At 50.5% G+C, this 19,940-nt stretch overlaps 1 protein-coding gene and 1 long non-coding RNA gene across 4 annotated transcripts in view, besides 9 other annotated features; one reads left to right on the top strand and one right to left on the bottom strand.

The window, feature by feature from the left end:
• Positions 1 to 12,658, bottom strand: part of STK40 (serine/threonine kinase 40) — a 46,297-nt gene extending 33,639 nt beyond the window's left edge. For all 3 annotated transcript variants that reach the window (NM_001282547.2, NM_001282546.2, NM_032017.3), the window contains exon 1: positions 12,457 to 12,658. The gene's annotated coding sequence lies outside the window, so the exon portion shown is untranslated. The remainder of the gene's footprint in view (positions 1 to 12,456) is intronic.
• Positions 178 to 1,377: an enhancer, noted in NCBI's record as "P300/CBP strongly-dependent group 1 enhancer chr1:36839045-36840244 (GRCh37/hg19 assembly coordinates)". NCBI's record gives its function as "activates an origin of replication core promoter dependent on BRD2, BRD4, P300/CBP, MED14 and CDK7 cofactors, with strong dependence on P300/CBP, by STARR-seq in HCT116 cells {active_cell/tissue: HCT116}" and the evidence as "EXISTENCE:reporter gene assay evidence [ECO:0000049][PMID:35650434]".
• Positions 542 to 836: an enhancer, noted in NCBI's record as "tiled region #4421; HepG2 Activating DNase unmatched - State 1:Tss, and K562 Activating DNase matched - State 5:Enh". NCBI's record gives its function as "activates a minimal TATA promoter and a strong SV40 promoter by Sharpr-MPRA in HepG2 and K562 cells {active_cell/tissue: HepG2 | K562}" and the evidence as "EXISTENCE:reporter gene assay evidence [ECO:0000049][PMID:27701403]".
• Positions 5,526 to 6,025: an enhancer, noted in NCBI's record as "H3K4me1 hESC enhancer chr1:36844393-36844892 (GRCh37/hg19 assembly coordinates)". NCBI's record gives its function as "activates a minimal SCP1, AML or CMV promoter by ChIP-STARR-seq in naive H9 embryonic stem cells {active_cell/tissue: H9 hESC(naive)}" and the evidence as "EXISTENCE:reporter gene assay evidence [ECO:0000049][PMID:30033119]".
• Positions 11,816 to 11,865: a silencer, noted in NCBI's record as "silent region_666". NCBI's record gives its function as "represses an Ori minimal core promoter by ATAC-STARR-seq in GM12878 lymphoblastoid cells {active_cell/tissue: GM12878}" and the evidence as "EXISTENCE:reporter gene assay evidence [ECO:0000049][PMID:35858748]".
• Positions 12,166 to 12,235: a silencer, noted in NCBI's record as "silent region_667". NCBI's record gives its function as "represses an Ori minimal core promoter by ATAC-STARR-seq in GM12878 lymphoblastoid cells {active_cell/tissue: GM12878}" and the evidence as "EXISTENCE:reporter gene assay evidence [ECO:0000049][PMID:35858748]".
• Positions 12,386 to 12,765: a silencer, noted in NCBI's record as "silent region_668". NCBI's record gives its function as "represses an Ori minimal core promoter by ATAC-STARR-seq in GM12878 lymphoblastoid cells {active_cell/tissue: GM12878}" and the evidence as "EXISTENCE:reporter gene assay evidence [ECO:0000049][PMID:35858748]".
• Positions 12,925 to 17,472, top strand: LOC124904012 (uncharacterized). Its single transcript, XR_007065779.1, has 2 exons — positions 12,925 to 13,061; positions 13,153 to 17,472. It is a non-coding gene; the product is annotated as an uncharacterized LOC124904012 (long non-coding RNA).
• Positions 12,972 to 14,171: an enhancer, noted in NCBI's record as "P300/CBP strongly-dependent group 1 enhancer chr1:36851839-36853038 (GRCh37/hg19 assembly coordinates)". NCBI's record gives its function as "activates an origin of replication core promoter dependent on BRD2, BRD4, P300/CBP, MED14 and CDK7 cofactors, with strong dependence on P300/CBP, by STARR-seq in HCT116 cells {active_cell/tissue: HCT116}" and the evidence as "EXISTENCE:reporter gene assay evidence [ECO:0000049][PMID:35650434]".
• Positions 12,996 to 13,105: an enhancer, noted in NCBI's record as "active region_752". NCBI's record gives its function as "activates an Ori minimal core promoter by ATAC-STARR-seq in GM12878 lymphoblastoid cells {active_cell/tissue: GM12878}" and the evidence as "EXISTENCE:reporter gene assay evidence [ECO:0000049][PMID:35858748]".
• Positions 13,136 to 13,505: an enhancer, noted in NCBI's record as "active region_753". NCBI's record gives its function as "activates an Ori minimal core promoter by ATAC-STARR-seq in GM12878 lymphoblastoid cells {active_cell/tissue: GM12878}" and the evidence as "EXISTENCE:reporter gene assay evidence [ECO:0000049][PMID:35858748]".
• Positions 17,473 to 19,940: the final 2,468 nt, after the last annotated feature.

The raw sequence follows: 19,940 nt of genomic DNA on the forward strand, positions 1-19,940 counted from the left end.
GGCCGCTTCCCTGTGGCAAGTCTCTGCAGGTATGTCTTTTTTTCATTATCATTTGATGGGCACCCACCGCTTGCCAGAAACCATTCCCAGTGTTTCCCAGATTCTCTCTTTAACTCGCACCACTTTCTGATGTGGATTCTCCCCTTCTATTATTGAAAAAGCAAAGCCTAAAGACTGTGGCCCAGGTTGAGGCTCTGGTGAGGGCTTTTCCACTGAGTCTGAATGACAGCCATCCCTGAAGAAGGCATGCACCCTCTCCCCGGGAGCTTGGTGGCTATGAGCAATCTCCTTAGGAACCCATTGGAAGCCATTTGCTTTGTGCTCAGGACAGATGCTGACAGGCTGGGGAGGCGGATAGAGAGGAGGATTAGTAATCCCTCGATTTCAGCCAGGACTCCCTGACGACAAAGATTCATGCATGTGCTGTCATCTTCACTGCTCCAAAACAGAGCGATGATTTTGTTCATTTTTAAAACGCAGGACATGTATAGCTCCAATTTGTCAAGAATACATAATATCACATCATTTAATGCATAATATCACATCTCCAAATGCTGCACTTTATTGCCTTGGGGGTTATAAGTGAACTGGCTGCTTCTAACCAGAGCTCTCTTTGTATAGGATGACCCCACCCCCTGAGGCCTGCTCTGCTCCCAGCCTGTGGGAGAGTACCTGCTGCAGCCAGAGAGGAAGTGACTCAGCCCAGTGGGAAGTGGGAGGGGCGGTCAGCAAGAGGGCCCTGCGCCCAGCCTGCTCCCCCAGCACATCCTCTGCCACCGCTGCCTTTCCTCAGCAGGACTCCAATGTGCTGAGCACAGCAGGCCTGGGGGCCAGGCAGGGCCTGAAAGTCCAGGGTCTGCAGCTTGGTGACCTAGCTCTAGTCTCCTCCAGGAAGCAAGGTTCATGAGTTAGCCCCACATAAGGAGACTGCGTAATCAGTGACATCCCTCCTCACCCCACTGCCCCGAGGAAGTCCCCACTGGGCTTTTCTGTGACCTCCTTTGGAGGCTGCAAAGAAAGCCTAGAAGCTAAAGGCCCCTGGCCAAGGGGGTGCATCCCAGAGAAATTCTGGAAGAAAAGTCTCAGGGCTGTGCACACAGAGGTAGAGAGAAGCTTTCTCTGCAGGCTCTCCTGGGGAAAAAATACATGGAGTTAGAGACCGGTCCCCATAGCCCTGAACCAGACCGGCTGCTCCTGGGAGCAAAGGGCTTCACCAGCAGTCACACTGAGAGCCACCAGAGCAGAATCCAGGGCAGCATTGCCAGCCCTGCCACCAGCTCTCCCCTCCCAAGGGCCTCCGGAAGCAGCTGATGTGACAACAAATAATCTGTCACTGTGTGTGGGTGTCAGAGGAGGAAGGGACAGACTTACAAGCTCTTTCTCTGGGCCGTACTGGCTTGGCCTCTCCATCCAGAGAGGTAGCCTGGGAAAGCAGCCAAGCACCCTGGCTTAGGGATGTTTGCGGTGGCCCCTTGGCTCTTCAGGGTGCCTTCTGCCATGCGCAGTGACGGCAGACTGAGTCACTGGCAGGTCTTCCCTGTCATACTGGCCTGCTCTGGCTCATTTGGACTAGAAGAGGAGATTGCAACAAGGGAGGTCCTGGCATGGGCATGTGACTAAGAGTCCCTTCAGCTCCAACCATCAGTTGTTGCTTTGTGCAGTGACTCAGTCCTGGAATAAGGCCTGCCATGGGGTCCCATGTGGAGTTCAAGTTCTTACCACCCATGATAGCCCAAATCAGGCAAGGAGAAAGCAGCAAGCAACCGCAGAACAACTGGTTGATTCTAAAAGCCACCATTCTGTCCACTGTGTGACCTGGACACATGCTTCTCTGCTCTGCAGTCTTCTCATCTGGAGGACAGGGACAGCGCTACTCCCAAAAAGGGTTCCCTTCAGGATTGCCAGGGCCCAGTACATAGGAGGCACTAGACGCTTAACTTAGAAATGTTACGTTTCCTGGCCAGGTGTGATGGCTCACGTCTATCATCCCAGCACTTTAGGAGGCCGAGGCAGGTTGATCACCTGAGGTCAGGAGTTTGAGACCAGCATGGCCAACACGGTGAAACCCCATTTCTACTAAAAATACAAAAATTAGCTGGGCATGGTGGTGGGTGCCTATAATCCCAGCTACTCAGGAGGCTGAGGCAGGAGAATCGCTTGAACCCAGGAGGTGGAGGCTGCAGTGAGCCGAGATCATGCCACTGCACTCCAGCCTGGGTGACAGAGCGAGACTCTGTCTCAAAAAAAAAAAAAGAGAAATGTTATGTTTCCTTCTTTCTATCCCAGATTTCCAGAGTGATAGAGAGGAAAGCCCAGCCAGGCCAGACCTAGGTGCTGCGCTTCTCTTTATACTGTTTTCAACAGCAAAAATCACCACAATTATCCTGTGAGAAAGGCAGTCTGGACTGGGGCCAGCAAACTGCCTTTCCTTAACTGCCTCTGTTAAAAATTAAATTAAATTTCATAACTTTAGGCCAGGCGCGGTGGCTCACGCCTGTAATCCCAGCACTTTGGGAGGCTGAGGCGGGTGGATCACCTGAGGTCAGGAGTTTGAGACCAGCCTGGCCAACATGGCAAAACCCTGTCTCTACTAAAAATAACAAAAATTAGCTGGGCGTGGTGGTGCTTGCCTATAATCCCAGTGACTAGGGAGGCTGAGGCAGGAGAATCATTTGAACCCCAGAGGCGTAGGCTGCAGTGCGCTGAGATCGCGCCATTGCACTCCAGCCTGGGCAACAAGAGCAAAACTCCATCTCAAAAAAAAAAAAAAATTCACGACTTTGACAGCGAGCAATACAATTCACTTTCTGAAGTTTGACTGAATGTTGAGGGCTATGGCTGCTCAGAGGGGCAACAGGCTGCCTGGTATGATTAGAAAAGCCAAGAGCAGGCGATCCCTTCAGAGTGCCCCTCTGTTGGCTTCACCTGCTCTGAATCACCAAGAGCTGGACACGGCAGATCACGAGGGCCAGCAGCCACCAGTGAAAGACTATGTCCATGCATTGAGGGCGTGTTCATTACCTGTCTGCTTATATGTAGGTCTCGAGAAGGGTCTGGTCCACCTCAGGCCTCCCAGGCTCTGCACAAGCCCAGAAGGTATGCAGAAAAAAGGTGTGAAACCATAGCCAACAAAGAAAAAGAAAATGTACCTGCCTTGGGCCCAGCAATGCCAGTTCCGGGGATGGATCCTGCAGATATACTCACACAGGTTCACAAAGATAATGTGCTCAACAAAAGTCCCTATAGAGCCACGTGTAGCAGCAAAAAACAAAACCATAAAAATCAACACACACACACACATGCCCCCAAGGCAGGAAACTATCTAAATGGCCATCCAGAGAGGACTGGTTAACTAATTATGTTCAGCTAGACAATGGATACTATGCAGCCTTTCCGACTAGGTCCACACCTGCTGATAAAGATGTCTATGTTACCAAAATAAGCACACTGCAGGAATATATGTACAACATAATCCTACTTGGGTTAAAAAAGATTATACACACTTTTGAATACGCATAGGCAACTTCTAGAAGAAATTTTTTTTTTTTTTTTTGAGATGGAGTGCAGTGGTACAATCTCGGCTCATTGTAACTATCACCTCCCCGGTTCAAGCAATACTCTGCCTCAGCCTCCCGAGTAGCTGGGATTATAGGTGCTCACCACCACACCTGGCTTTTTGTATTTTTAGTAGAGACGGGGTTTCACCATCTTGGCTAGGCTGGTCTTGAACTCCTAACCTCATGATCCACTCGCCTCGGCCTCCCAAAGTGCTGGGATTACTGGCATGAGCCACCGTGCCCAGCCTAGAAGAAATTTAAGTGGACACCTCCAGTCAATAGAACTAAGGGCCCAAGGAGGGGAGGGAGAGCTTTATTTTATATTCTCCCATATTATTTAACTATTGTACCATAAACTATTAAACTAACAATACTTTTTTAAAATCTAAAGATTTTCTGAACCCATTAGAATTATTAAGAGTAGTAGTGGAGCCAGGCGTGGTGGCTCACGCCTGTAATCCCAGCACTTTGGGAGGCTGAGGTGGCATATCATGAGGTCAGGAGTTCAAGACCAGCCTGGCCAACATGGTAAAACCCCATCTCTACTAAAAATACAAAAATTAGCCGGGTGTGGTGGCACTCGCCTGTAGTCCCAGCTACTCGGGAGGCTGAGGCAGGAGAATTGCTTGAACCTGGGAGGCGGAGGTTGCAGTGAGCCAAGACCATGCCATTGCACTCCAGCCTGGGCAACAGAGTGAGACTCCGTCTCAAAAAAAAAAAAAAAAAAAAAAAAAGTAGTAGTGGAATCAGGGGAGGCTGAGCCTCAGAGAAGGCAGACTTGAGAGAGTATGGCCTGGGAAGAGGTGTAAGCATAAGTGCCCTGGATGTGTGAGCTTGTGTGCCAATGCAATGGTGCAGCAAAAGAGTGAGAGGCAGAAGGACAAAGACAACACCCCTGCAGCTCTCCAGATAGGCTGCAAACATGCCTATAAGGAACTTCCTGCCTGCCCCCTGGCATCCATAAGGGCTGAAAACTGGCTCAGGATGCCTCTTTTGGTACACTCACAGGTTCACTGCCAAGAGCTCACCTGGGCCTTGCTGGAGCTGGCCCCTGGGTCCTGCCTGCCTGCCATGCACTAGGCTGAACGTGGTAGAGGCTATAAAGCCCTGTGTCTCATGACTACCTTAAGGGCAAGAATTGTTATGCCCATTTTACAGAGGAGGAAGCTGGGGTTGGAGACAGGAAGTGACTTGTTCAAGGTCACTCACTTCAGGTTCTGAAGCCACATCTGATCTGAGCCTAGGCCCTTAACTGCATGGTTGCAAGTCTCCTTGCCCACTACCCATAGGGCAGGTCAGGGAGGGACCTGTCTCAAGGCAGTGGCAGTTTCCATTTTTCAGGCAAAAAAAGGGACTGGTTCAGCTTTGGGGCTGGCTCTATGAGTCCAAGATTCTATGTGGGCTGGACTCCCTGGGACCAGAGCCTAGCCAGGATGGAGGAAGGGAACATGGGCTTTAGAGTCACACAAATGTGAGTTGGAAATCCCAGCTCTGCCCTTACTGGCTGTGTAATAGTAGACAGTCTTTTTACCCCGCTCTGAGCCTGAGTGTTCTCTGTAAAATAAGAGACAACCCTTACTTCCTTAGATTCAATAACGTATTGCAGTATTACAAAGGACCTGGGAGGTGGTGGGGCTTTTTTTCTTTTTTTTTTGAGACGGAGTCTTGCTCTGTCACCAGGCTGGAGTGCAGTGACACGATCTTGGCTCACTGCAACCTCCGCCTCCTGGGTTCAAGCGATTCTCCTGCCTCAGCCTCCTGAGTAGCTGGGACTACAGCCGTGCGCCACCACGCCTGGCTAATTTTTTGTATTTTAGTAGAGATGTGGTTTCACCATGTTGGCCAGGATGGTCTCGATCTCCTGAACTCGTGATCTGCCCGCCTCGGCCTCCCGAAGTGTTGAGATTACAGGCGTGAGCCACCGTGCCAGCCGGGCCTCCTTTTTTTGCTGGTTTCCTTCCTGTTTTTTCAGAAGGGACCACTCCAGGAGTCAGAAAAGAACACACACTATGAAACTTACCCCAAACTCAGTAATGCTGGAAGCGCCATACTTATTGCAAAAAGTAGCAGGACTCTTGCTCCCCAGGGTTGGCAGATGCCAGCAACAGGATTCCAAAAGCCCCACGGAATGCTGGGCTACACCAGGCCCAAGGTCCCCAAGGCGCTGAACCGAGCTTCTCCCTAGAAGCACTGCTGTCCCCTCAACACACCTCACATCAGCTCTGCCCCAGAGAGAAATGACAAGCACATCAGTCCTGCTCTTGCCAATTCCCACTACAATGACCAGTCCACTCTCTCTTCCTTCTGGACCCTTGCATCCAGACTTCCTAAAGGCTGAAGATCTTCTATCTCTTTTGCCAAGTAGGTGGCAGTGTGTAAACATATTTAGAGGGGACAGCTTTATTCTGCATGCCAAGACCCCTTCTCAGTTTTTCTACCTCTGGTGCTTTCCAACAACTAGAGTTCCTTTGAAACCGTCAGGCCTGTAGACTGCTAAGTTCTGGGGAGCCTGAACTCACACCCAAGACTGACTGTCATGGCCAGGAGAGAATGAACACCGTTGGGTTGTAGCCTCTTTTTTTTTTTTTTTTGAAACGGAGTCTCGCTCTCTCACCCAGGCTGGAGGGCAGTCACTGCAAGCTCCGCCTCCTGGGTTCACGCCATTCCCTGCCTCAGCCTCCCGAGTAGCTGGGACTACAGGTGCCCACCACCACGTCCGGCTAATTTTTTGTATTTTTAGTAGATACAGGGTTTTACCGTGTTAGCCAGGATGGTCTTGATCTCCTGACCTCGTGATCTGCCTGCCTCGGCCTCCTAAAGTGCTGGGATTACAGGTGTGAGCCACCGCGCCCGGCCTGGGTTGTAGCCTCTTTAGGGAGTGGGAACACCTGTGTTCCCCTCAGGACGTACGACCTCAACCCAAAAGAACAGATTCACTTGCTGGGGGAAAAATAAGGCTGCCCCAATTTATTAAAAGGAGACCTAGAAATTCTTTAACAATAATAATAATAAAGGATAGTCTTTGAGGCAGCAATTCACTTCTAGAAATTTATCCTGCAGATGATACCTAAGGTGGGCAAAATCATATGTATGAAGAAAGTCACTTCAGCAGAAGTGTTTAGAGAGTAGAATGCAGAAAATAACCCAAGTGTTTGTTAGCAGAGAGCTTGTTGAATAAATTACACTCACAGTGGGACACATCATAGCCACAAATGACCCAGACCTGCATGTGCCAAAGTGGAACTATCTCTAAGATAGTAAGTAAATCACAGCAAGCAATTGCATCCTTTCCCCTCTAGGATCTTGATTACAGAGCCTGGGAGGATATGCGGGGGCTGCTGTGGGCCCTCGACTACCTTCGAGGTCAGAGTCTCACCTGAGCAGGTGGAGGAGAAAGAAGTGCTCTTGTTTCAGATCATTTTCTCGTTTACTTTCTTTACACCACAAACCCAAGGACAAATCATGTAAAAAAATCTCCCAAATTCCAAAGGGCCTGTTTGAAGGCCCGCCCACCAGCACACCCCTCACTATAGTCCAATCCAGCTGAGGGACAGCTTCTGGCTCCCTTAGAACTTCAAGGGTCAAGGACACTGGGCAGCTTTCTCTCCCTTCCCTGAAGGTTCTGAGCAAGTCCTGGGTGGCCTCTGGCAGATATCAGTCCTTCCTGAGAAGAAGGACTGAATCTGCTGAGCCAGCTTCAGGCAGCAAATCCAATTTCCAGACCTCTCTCTAGATAAGATCTCCAGGGGGCACTGAGAAAGCCTCTCTCCCCTGAGGGTCTCTGCTGTTCAGGACCCCATCAGTGGGCTGTAGTATGCTGAATCGGGGTGGATATTGCCAGAGGGAAGGGTTGCTCTTAGGGCTATTGGAAGGCTGAAGATTTATCGCTTTATAGATGTGAAACATGAAGAGGTTCACCTCCCTGGTTAAATCTGGGCAGAGGAAAGGTGAAGGAAGGAAAGCTGCCCTTCTCCCAGGTGCTGATTCAGGCGAAAGCAAAGGGAAGCCTGGCCCAAGTCCAGACAGGGGTCTACAAGACCTTCCAACTGATCCTCTCCCGAGAGGGTGTGCCCAGGGTTTACTGAACGAAGCTGGCAGATTTCACTGGCCATTATCTTCTCCTTGAGCCATCCCTATCTCTGCACTATCATTCACTCTGTCACCCAAACCAAGGACCTCAAGGTTACCTGTCACCATTCCTCCTCCCTCTGGCATCACTTCCAAACACTCCCAGAGTCCAGTTGATTTCCCCCCAAACAGCTCATCTCTGCTCTTCTTCTCAACCCTATTGCCTCTGCCCTGATCCAAGCCCCTCTCAGCCCTTGCTGGGATTACTGCAACAGCCTCCTATGGGGACTCCAACCTCTCCCCAACCCACTCCATCCTCCAAAGCAGATGCAGGTCTAATGGTATGTTTCCTCCACTTAATGCAAGGCATCCATCACCAACAGAATACAAAATTCAAGCATCTGCGCCCTAGTGCCTGCCTACCTCTCAGGCACATCCTGCAGTCAGTCCCTTCACACTCTGGGCTAGAACTCCTGTGGTTCCTAAAGTGCCACACAAATTACCACATATCCGTGCTTGTGCCAGGCTGCTCCCCCTGCCTGGAGGGCTTCATAGACCCCCAGAAAACTCTATTCATTCTTCACGATCCAATTCAAGTTCTTTTTTTGAGACAGGGTCTCACTCTGTTGTCCAGGCTCGAGTGCAGTGGTGTGATTACAGCTTACTGGGAGTTGGGAACTCCCAGGTTCAAGTGATCCTCCCACTTCAGCCTTCCAAGTAGCTGGAACTACAGGTACATGCCACCACGCTTAACTAATTTTTTTCTTTTTTAATTTTTGTAGAGATGGGGTCCCACTATGTTGGCCAGGCTGGTCTTCAATTTCTGGGCTCAAGCGATCCTCCTGCCTCGGCCTCCCAAAGTGTTGGGATTACAGGTGTGAGCTGCTGTGCCCAGTCCCAGTTCAAGTTCTAAGGGCTCTCTGAAGTTCTCCCCAGTCTCCTCCTCATCCTAGAGCTCGATCACTTCTTCCACTGGGTTCCCCCACATGCTATAGACTTCTGTGAGAGACTTGCCAAACTGTGCACATGTTAACTGGTTAGGAGCCTGCCCCTAGATCACAACCTCCTCCATGGTAGGGCCTGCCTCTCCATCCTCCTCCTGCCCCCAGGACCCAGCAGAGCCCCAGCCACACATGGGAGCTCATGTATGTGGAATCAGGGCTCTGTATTTTGAGCTACCACACTCATCAGTGTGTGTGATGCCTCTTGATGCTGCTTATTCAGGTACCAGACTAGGGTTGCTAGCAGGGACACACAGAGAAGAAATTCTAAATACATTTACTCCCATGTATACTTTTTTTTTTTTGAGACAGGGTCTCACTGTGTCACCTAAACTGGAATGCAGTGGTGCAATCTCGGCTCACTGCACCCTTGATCTCCTGGGCTCAAGAGATCCTTCCACCTCAGCCTCCCTAGTAGCTGGGACTACAGGTGCGTATGACCATGCCCAGCTAATTTTTGTATTTTTTGTAGAGACGGGTTTCGCCATGTTGCCCAGACTGGTCTTGAACTCCTAGGCTCAAGCGATCTGCCCATCTCGGCCTCCCAAAGTGCAGGGATTACAGGCGTTAGCCACCGCGCCTGGCCAACCCATGTATACTTTAAAGTACTATTTTTTTCTCAGCAGTCCTACTTCTATTTTTAAAAATAGTTCTTTTAAAGAGCCAAACTGAATCATCTGCATGGCTCCCATACAGACTGGGTAAACTCCCCTTAGATTTTCTTTTCAGAAAGAATAAAATAAAACTCTGTGATCTTGTGATCCCTCAGGACACTTCTGACAGCTCAATGGGACATAGTTCTAGTTGCCATGAATTGCTGCAACTAATTCCTAAAAGTTCTTTCCTGTAGCCTGTAATAAGAGCTAACATTTACTACTCAGTGTCTGTTAAGTACTCATCCTGTAACATCTTACTTACTCCTCACAACTGCCCTATTACGAAGGTACTCTTATTGTCCCCATTTTACAGATGAGAAAGCTGTGGTGGAGAGAATAAGTAATCCCTAGTGACCAGCAGGGATAGAAGTAGAACACAGATCTGTCTGATGGCAGAGCCAAATAAGCTTTTTTTTTGAGACAGAGTTTCGCTCTTGTTGCCCAGGCTGGAGTGCAATGATGCAATTTTGGTTCACCGCAACCTCCGCCTCCCAGGTTCAAGAGATTCTCCTGTCTCAGCCTCCTGAGTAGCTGGGATTACAAGCATGCACCACCACGTCCGGCTAATTTTGTATTTTTAGTAGAGAAGGGGTTTCTCCATGTTAGACTGGTCTTGAACTCCTGACCTCAGGTGATCTGCCCACTTCGGCCTCCTAAAGTGCTGGGATTACAGGCGTGAGCCATCATACCCGGCCTCAAATAACCTCTTAACTATTACAATCTACTGCCTTCCCCAAAGGTCAGATTAAAAGCACAAGTTAGCAAACACAGCACCCTTTACAACTGGCCTTCTGAGAGGGCAGTCTTATCTCTCCAGCTGCTCAAGCAACCTACAATCCCAGGAAGAGAGGGGCACATGTGCCAGGCACTTCTGCGCCAGGCAGAGAAGCCCAGGCCAATGCAGGAGCTTGCCATCTGGCACTGGTTGCACATGGTGCTTCCTCAGCAAAGATCCATCGCCCCAGCACCAACTCTCCTCTCTCAGAAGCCTAGGTTTGTCTCCGAAGAGTTCTCCAGCCCTTCAGTCGCTCCTGTCCTCCTCCTTCCCTCCTCTACTGGGACTCCAGTGAAATCTTTCTAAAATATGTAACCAATCATGTCATTCCTCTGCTTCAGACCTTTTCACTTGCTCCCGGCTGCCCTGGGCATGATATCTCAAATTGCTAATATGGCATTCTTTCATGAACCTATACTGCTTCACTTGCACCATATCAACTTCCATACCACTAGATTGAACAATCTGAGATTTCTGGAATAAACTATGAGTTTATTTGTCTATCTCGCTCTCAAAGTATTCATTCTCACCTGGCTAAGCCTCCCCTCCTCTCCTTTTAGACTCAGCTCCAGCATCACTTCTGCCAAGCCTTTTCATGGCACACTCCCGTCCCCACCCCACCCCCAAGGCTGAGCTCACAGCTTTCTCCCTTTCTCCACTGGGCTCCCACAGTACTCTCTTGCTGCTGCTATTAGCTTCTTCTTCTTCTTTTTTTTTTTTTTTTGAGACAGAGTCTCACTCTGTTACTCAGGCTGGAGTGCACTGGCTTGATCTCGGCTCACTGCAACCTCTGCCTCATAGGTTCAAGCAATTCTCCTGCCTCAGCCTCCCGAGTAGCTGGGATTACAGGCCTGTGCCACCATGCCCAGCTAATTTTTCTATTTTCAGTAGAGATGGGGTTTCACCATGTTAGCCAGGCTGGTCTCGAACTCCTGACCTCAGGTGATCCGCCCGCCTCGGCTTCCCAAAGTGTTGGGATTACAGGCATGAGCCACGGCGCCCAGCCACTACTAGCTTCTTTAGACCACATTTCAACCATTTGTTTACAGGTCAATTTCCCTTAATTAGACTGTATGCTCCTTGAAATAAAAATAGATAACATTTATTGAATTCTTATTACGTGGCAAACATGGTTGTATGTTTTACATGTTAACTTTTTACTCTTCATAATATCTCTCTCTGTTATCATCCTTGTTTTATAGACGAAGACACTGAGGCACAGGGAGACTAAGCAATGTGCCCAGGTACACACAGCTGGAAAGTTGCTGAGCCAGAATTTGAACTCAGGAAGTCTGGCTCCAAAGCCTACTCTTAACCACTATGCTGTCTAGCACTTGCCTCTAGGCAAGGACTCTTGTTGTGGTCATGTGAGAAATGAATGAATGAATGAATGAGGACTGTCTAGATTAACCCAACCAACAACTTGCACAGCACGGCCATTAGGAAGCACTAAAGGAGCTCACAGGCACTGTTTACAAACAAGATTATTTTGGCCCTACAATTACACATTCTGCTCTTCCTTATCTCACGCAAAACTACTCAAAGAGGGAAAGGCGCCCAGCCCAGTATGCCTACCCTCTTCCCCACTGGTTCTCAAAACCAAAGCAAAGCCAACCGGTTTCCTCCAGTGACTTAAAACAGAGCAAAGTCTATCCTGCCACACAGAGGGCGGCTGTCATCTCTTCCTTCCGCTAACAAAAGGGCTTCAAACCTGGGGATTGGGGTGGGCAGAAAACTCGGCATCAGGAATCCGAATGTCCCTACCTAACTGGCTGGAAGGCGGGGCCAAGTGGCGTGGGAATGGGCGGGCCTGACCGGCTCGGCAGGTGAAACACTGACCACAGCAAGCTCTCCTTGGAAAAGGCCGGCCAAACGTGGCCTTGGCAAGCAGGTAGCTGTGACTCGTACCTGAACGCCGCCCGGGATATGAAAATTCCCCAGCAGCGGTAGCGCCCGTGCCAGAGTGAGGGCTCTTGGAGGAAGCCCTGGCTGGCCCTCCCTGGGGACTCGTTCTAACTATCAAGTCACCCTCGGGATTAGGAGGGAAACACGGAGAGGCAGAAGGTGTCTTTTTGGAAAGATCTGGCTGGATTCACACGCCGGTTGCTTCACTCACTGGCTGGGTGACTCTAGGCAAAGCTGGCAGTGCCCACTTCCCAGAGCTGCGGCGGGGACTGAAGCTCCCGCGGCCTCCCGGTACCCGGCGCGAGGCAGCCCTCGCCCCTGCCGCCGGGGAAGGGCAGAGCCCCAGCGGAGGAGGGGGCATTCGCCGGGGCCATTTCTGCTGCACTCAGATGGCTTCAGGCTGTCACTCCGATTCCACCGCCGCGGCCGCCGGGGCCCGCCCCGCCTACCCGCAACCCCCACCCGGCTCCCCGCTCCTGGACCCCTGCCCTCACCTTCGCCGGGTGGTCAGAGCTATTCGCCCATAGTCCGTAGCCCAGAGCCGGGGCTGCTCGGCTCTCCCTCCCGGGGGGCCGGGGCCGGGCTGGAGGCGTGCGAGCCTCTCACCGCCGCCTCCCAGCGCAGCCACCCGAGCCGCCGCCGCCGCCGCCGCCGCCTCCCTCCATGGCTGCGGCGCCGCCACCTGACAACGGAAGTGACGCACCGCCCCCCTCCTCCCCAGCCTTAGCCGCGGCCCCGCCCCCCCGGGCCCCGCCCTCCGCCTGCGTCTCCAGCCCCACGGCTTTCGGATTGGGGCGCCATCTTGACGATGGGCGGAAGACTTCAGGCAAGAGGCCAGAGTCCGATTGAGGATTGGTTCAGGGTGGGGTCTGGGCGAAACCTGTTACACGATTGGAGGCCGAGGCTCTAATGGGGCGGTACTTACTGCTGATCTATATCTGCGGCGAGGCTGGGACGGAGGCACCGCCCCGCCCGACCCCACAGAACCTCGCGGGCCCTACACTCCCCCTGCCGAGGTTGAAGTCCCCAGCGGTTGGAAGATCGGCCAATTGTAGTGTATTTATCAGAAAAGTGACTCATCCTTGATCCTCATTTCCCGGTTTGTGGAACTCTGTGAGGAAAGCCCTGCAGTTAGGCTCAATAAAAGACAGAAATTCCTGTCGCAGCGCTCATAATTCATTTCCCTCTAGGTCTGTCGCCTTTGTAGAAACCCCGAGGATGGCAACCTTCAACCTGGAGATCCCTGAAGCCTTGACCAGGGAGGTTTACAGTGAAGCGTTCCTATTAGCGACTACAGCTATCTAACCTCAGTTCCTCCTGCTGCAGTTTCGGTCCCTTTCTCCTCCTCCTCCAGCAACCACGCCCTCCATGAATCAGCTTCTTGCACCAGCAGATGAGCCCTTTAAAGGGATTGCATCAGGCAAGTGACTCACTGGGGCCCTCTAAGAGCCTGGCTTCCCTCCCTTGGCATGCAGAAGCAGCTAGAAGGGCTCAGTGGCAGCAGCACCAGCGGCCGTAGCCCCACTCCCTTGTCCCAGAGGTGTGAGTCAGGGTGTTTGCTGCTTATGATGTCTAACTCTTGGCTGTCTTTCCAGCTGTCCCCTGGGTCACTCTATATCCATGTGTGGGCACACGTGTCTAAGCTTGTGTGCACTGCTGGGTTTTCCTAGGGTGTGTGGCCACTTGTGTGTATGTGCATTTGTCATCTCCACATAGGCAGTGCCAGGACACAAGAGCTGATATGAGTGAAGTCTGGCTGCCTCTACCTGTGTCCTTTGTCTCTGAATGCCTGGTGCCCACTGAGCTGCTGATAGGGCTGACTAACAAGAGTAATCAGGACAGCTCCCACCGTTGTGCCACACTCTGCATGGAGCACTTGAGACAGTATTAGGTAGGAGGCTGTTTACAGCTGAGGAAGCCAGTGCTCAGAGAAGGAAATTAATGTGCCCAAACACACACAGCTAATAATGGCAGGGCTAGGATTCAAATCAAGTCTGATGGATTCCAAAAAACTTGGCTTTGAATCCCTGCTGCATCACTTACAAGCTGGGTGACTATGTGCAAATTGCCCAATCTTCCCCTTCTGTCCAAACAGGGATAACGCTTGGGGGATCACTGTGAGGACTCGGAGTTATAGAAACAGCTTTTTGCAAGACCCAGCGAGCACTCATACTCATCTCAGTTGAAGGGCTTCAATGAGGTGGGTGACCAAAAGACAGGCATAAAGAAGGCCCCAGCCCAGCAAGCTCCACTCTCTGACAAAACAAAAAGCCTAGGGATTCCGGAAGCCCTGACTCTGACAAAAATGAGTTCTGGGTTTTCCAGAGCTCTAATTATCAGCTAGATGAATCACTCTGCGCTGACACCACCATTCCTACCCCCAGGAGACTCTCAGCTGATTGAAAATCCAGGATTTTAACAAAGGAGAGGAGGAGGAACAGAAAGCTAGGAGGAGAAGAAGTAATGAATAGAAACCAAAGGTGCCAGCCAGAGGAAATGAGAAACTGTCATCAGGACACTACCATGAGGAGAACGCTGGGACACACACACACACACACACACACACTCACACTCACGCTGACATACTCTTGCTGGCTCTCCAACTCTAGGCTTACGGCAGACGGTGCTGCCATAACAAAGTGACGCCTGTCACAACAGCATGAGATGGTGGCTTGACAAGGTATAGGCAGATCTGCCTATCACAGAAGGAGGGAAAGAGACCTTCAACCCCCAGGGGCTTCCTCAGGCTTCTGAACCCTCGTCTCCATTACTGGTTGGCTCTGGCTTCTCTTTGTCACCAAATCGCAAGGCCTAAATCTGGCAAATTTTGAGTGTCAGACCTACACCCTGTGGCTAGGTACCACCACTGTGGTGAACAAAGGCACCTCTTATACTCTGTCATCAGTATGATGCCAAGAGTGCTGGGAAACAGAATAGCACAGCAGTTAAGATCATTGAGTTGGAGTCACACAGACCTGAGTTCAAATCCCCATTCTGTTGTTCACCTTGAGCAGGCCACATAACTTCCTTGAGCCGGTTTGCTCAAATGTAAAATGGTGCTATTAATATATGGGGTTTTTATAATGATATAATAAGATTACTTTCAGGGCTGGGCGCAGTGGCTCACTCCTGTAATCCCAGCACTTTGGGAGGCCGAGGTGGGTGGATTGTCTGAGGTCAGGAGTTCGAGACCAGCCTGGCTAACATGGCAAAACCCCGTCTCTACTGAAAATACAAAAATTAGCTGGACGTGGTGGCTGGTGCCTGTAATCCCAGCTACTTGAGAGGCTGAGCAGGGGGAATCACTTGAACCTGGGAGGCAGAGGTCGCAGTGAGCCAAGATCGCACCATTGCACTCCAGCTCAGGCAACAAGAGTGAAACCCCATGTCAAAAAAAAAAAAAAAAGGATTATTTTCATTCCACAAGATTGATGGAGTGCCCACTATGTGCAGAGCACTGAGCTAGATGCTGGAGATTCGGCATAACCAGACAACAGCTCTGCCCTTGTGGAGCATCAGAGCACCCAGCACAGGGCAAGTAGTAAAATTCAACAAAGAGTAGCTATTTTTCATTTATTTTATTTTAGAGACGGGGTCTTGCTGTTGCCTAGGCTGGAGTGCAGTGGCACAATCACAGCTCACTGCACCCTCAAACTCCCAGGCTCAAGAGATCCTCCCACCTCAGCCTCCTGAGTAGCTGGGACTTACAGGTGTGTCCCACCATATCCTGCTAATTTTTAAAAAAATTTTTATAGAGACAGGGTCTCACTGTGTTGCCAGGGCTGGTCTTGAACTCCTGGGCTCAAGTGATCCTCCCACCTCAGCCTCCCAAAGTGCTGGGATTATAGGTGTGAACCACTGCACCTGGCCAGTAGCTATTTTTCATGACCATTATGGTGCCCATCTTGGCACTCTGCCTCTAACTTAGCCATGGGACCTGGGGAGAGCCCCTTTCCCTCTCTGAGCCTCAGTTTCCTCAGCTGTAAAATGACAGAGTTGGACTGGGTCAGTAGCAGCAGTTCCCAACTTTCCCACCTTCAAAGCCTTTTTTAGTCTTTTTCCCTCTGCCTCCACACTATCCAGAATCTGGTGGGACAGTAACACTTTGCATTGTTTTTCATCTTTTCCTTGGTGTTCTCCCTCCTTCTCTTACACAGATAAGTTACTCTGTATTCATTACTTCGGGAAACAAATGATACAACAGAATGCAGGGCCTATTTTTAGCTTCTGAATTCCAAAAGCTTAGCTTTCAGGGAGGAATGGACAGAATTTCTGTGCAGACACACATTTAGAAAACTATAACGGGGATCTGGGAGTCTGAGATTGAGGAGGGGGGTCCCTGAGAAGAGAGAAGCTTCTCCTCAGTCTTGTAACTGGGAATATCATCTGGGTCCAAGGGATTGAGAAGCAGAGAGGAGCTGTGCTCCTTTTCCTGGGTGGGGCACCAGGGAAGTCACAAAACCCTCTGGAGAAATGGCTGCATGCTGCATTTTGGACAAACAGGGCCTAACTCACCTAAGACTCAAGAATTTCCTAGGCCTAACATGGCCTGGGGAAAGCAGAAAAACAAAACAAAACAAAACAAAACTCTGCACACCTGAGAGGGGTATGGGTTACACTTGGAGGGGTCTTTTGGTGGGGGGATGGGGAGCAACTCAGCAGCAACCTTCATGGGCTGATGACAAAAGGTCACAACCAGATGAGAACATCTCAGTGGATGCTAGTGTGACTGGATGACCAAATCAGACTATGCTTCCCATGCTTTGGCACCTTGAAAGGAAGAGCCCTAGAATTCCAACAGAATGCCAAGGAAAATGGGGGAACTGTGAATTGACCGCAATTAACTTTCTGCCACTCTGGCTGAGTAGGGCAAAATACAGGAATTCAAGTGAGTTAAAGAAAATTCAAGTTCTGTTTCTTGCACACCAGAAACTGGAACCAGCTACACTCTGTCCACAGGCCTTGTGTCATATGCCCCACCCCCTCCCATTTCTCCACTCTCATCTGCCTCCCTCTCCCCCAATAGCCACAGTGTTACTATTATTGTCCCAAATCCCCAAGCTTTCCCATCCCAGGACCTTTGCACAGGCAGTTTCCTCTGCCTTGTCCTGGCTTTTTAAATGACAGGCTTCTTCTCAGTTTAACTACTTTCCTGCTGGGTGGGGTGGCTCAAGCCCTTAATCCCAGTGACTGGGGCCAAGGCAGGAGGATTGCTTGAGGCCAGAAGTTTGAGACCAGCCTGGACAACATAGTGATACCCTGTCTCTTAGGGAAAAAAAAAAAAGTTACGAAATTAAGACACCACAGGTGTGTGGTGGCATGCACCTGTAGTTCCAGCTACTTGGAAGGCTGAGGCTTGAGCCCAGGAGTTCAAAGCTGCAGTGAGCCATGATCGCACCACTGCTCTCTTGCCTGGGCAACAGAGCAAGACTCCCTGTCTAAAAAAAAAAGATTTCACTTCCTCAGACTACATTTTCCAAAATAAAACTACCTGTTATTGTCTCTCAAAAGGCCCTGTTTATTTCCTTCAGGGCACCTGTAAATATTTTTACTTTTTTAGTTTATCTGTTTCCCTCACTAGAATGTTCACTTCCTGAGGCAAGACCCTTGTTCATCTTGATGTTCCCCAGTTGCTACCACTGTGCCTGGTACATAGCTGGTGCTCAAGAATGACCTGTGGAATGGCTGACCAGTGGCAGTTGGGGAGTTCCTGGCTTCCCACAGGCTGGTGGGCACTGGGCTCTCTCAACCCCTTCCTGGGCCCCTGATAGCCTTTTCCAGCAAGCCAAGACCAGATTACAAAAGACCCACCTTTGGGGTTTAAAGTCTCAGCTGTGCTCTAACCGAGGGGCTTGGCAAAAATGTGTCTCTGCAGGGCCTGGTTCCCCTCATTATCATCTGTCTTCCCAAGACCTTGCCTAGGAATGACAGAGGGCCACTGGGGTCTGGCACATGACACTTAAGGAACATGTCTTGAGCCTGTCTTCTCAGCAACCCACACTAGCCTTACTGCTTCCCTTGCTGCTCTGCTGAGGACGGAGAAGCCCTTGGTGTGCCATCACAGCCTCAGAGCTCGACCTTTCCTGCATCCCTAAGCCGAACCCCCAGCTAAGCCCTCTTCCATTTCTCACACACGGGCACACATGTGGGAGAGGTCTGCAAGGGAAGCTGCTGTGGGACTCCCACCAGTTCCTCATCTCTCTCCCCACTTGCGAGGGTATGGTGACGTTCCCACAGCGAAGGCCTTCCCTCTGCACCTGCCCTCTGGTTTCTCTTTCCAGCAGTCACTTTGTGGTGTCAGTCAGTCCTCTTAACTCCAGTTGTCAGAGGGGCCGGAAAATTCAGAAGTTTTCTCTGCTAGGACCCTCCGTTCTCCCTGAAGGCAAAGGGCAGAGTTAAGGGGATTCTAGACCTGTAGGCAATAAAATAAATACAGTATGCAAAAGAATCACGGTGGATGGGTGGATGTGAATGCAGATTCCTGGGTGCTAGACTCCAATTCAAGCTTGGGTAAGGAGGAGCCAGGTAAGTGCATTTCCTACACACATCCCAGTTGGTCCTGATGAGGTGGTCTGCAGACAACACCTGACACAGACTGAACTCGAATGTGAATGCAGTGCCCTTGGGCTGCTAACGTCCACATGAACATTCCTCTCAAATCTCCCTCAAGAATGGTAGCATCTTAAGGTCAGGGGCCCTGCTTTATTCAAAACTCTCTGCCACAGCAGTTCTCAAGCTGGATTTCATCTTTGGTTTTTTTTTTTTTTTTTTTTTTTTTGAGACAGTCTCACTCTGTTGCCCAGGCTACAGTGCCATGGCGTGATCTTGGCTCACTGCAACCTCTGCCTCCTGGGTTCAAGCAATTCTTGTGCCTCAGCCTCCTGGGTAGCTGGGACTACAAGCGCATGCCACCACGCCCGGCTAATTGTTCTATTTTCAGTAGAGATGGTGTTTCACCATGTTGGCCAGGCTGGTCACAAACTCCTGGCCTCAAGTGATCCATCAGCCTCAGCCTCCCAAAATACTGAGATTACAGGCGTGAACCACTGTGTTCAGCCTCATCTTTGTTTTCTTTGACCACCTCCCCCACTAGGATATAAGCTCCGATGCAAAAAGGTTCAAATCTCACCTGATAATGTGTGCTTGGCCAGACCCGGTGGCTCATGCCTGTAATCCTACCACTCAGGGAGGCTGAGGCAGGAGGATGGCTTGAGACCAGGAATTCAAGACAGCATGGGCAACATAGTGAGACCTTGTCTCTGTTGAAAACAAAACAAAACAAAAAGATGATGTGTGCTTAGCAGAAGGCCTTGGCACATGGCAGGTGTGGTGTGGATATCTGATGAGTTCAAACTCTCTGGATCCACAGGAGAAAGTCACTTTCTTTCTTTTTTTTTTTTTCCTGAGATGGAGTCTCCGTCTGTTGCCCAGGCTGGAGTGCAGTGGTGCGATCTCGGCTCACTGCAACCTCCACCTCCTGGTTCAATTCAAGCGATTCTCCCACCTCAGCCTCCTGAGGAGCTGGGATTACAGGTGTGTACCACCACGCCCGGCTAATTTTTTTTGTATTTTTAGTAGAGACGGGGTTTCACCATGTTGGCCAGGCTGGTCTCGAACTCCTGACCTCAAGTGAGCCACTTTCACTAAGACGGTTGTTTGCCTGTGGCAGGCCTAGAATGACAACAAGGCAGCTACTACAAGGACGTGGGTTCTAACCCTGAGAACCCAATAACTCTCAGATTAGAGATGGAATTCCTGCTCCCACAGGTGCAGGAATGTGTGTGCCGAGCTCCCACACCCCAGGGGAGGAGGGCCCAGGATACTGCAACCTCTCTGCTTCAGGAAACAGCAACAAGACTAACAGCCTCTTCAACAAGGACTCTGAATAGAAAAGCCATTTTCCACCTGACCAGACTGAAGTACTCTCCTACCATTCTAAAACTGCTACATATTAGAATTGCCTGGGAAATTAAAAAAA

This window comes from Homo sapiens, chromosome 1 (assembly GCF_000001405.40).
Source record: "Homo sapiens chromosome 1, GRCh38.p14 Primary Assembly".
NCBI classification, from domain to species: domain Eukaryota; kingdom Metazoa; phylum Chordata; class Mammalia; order Primates; family Hominidae; genus Homo; species Homo sapiens.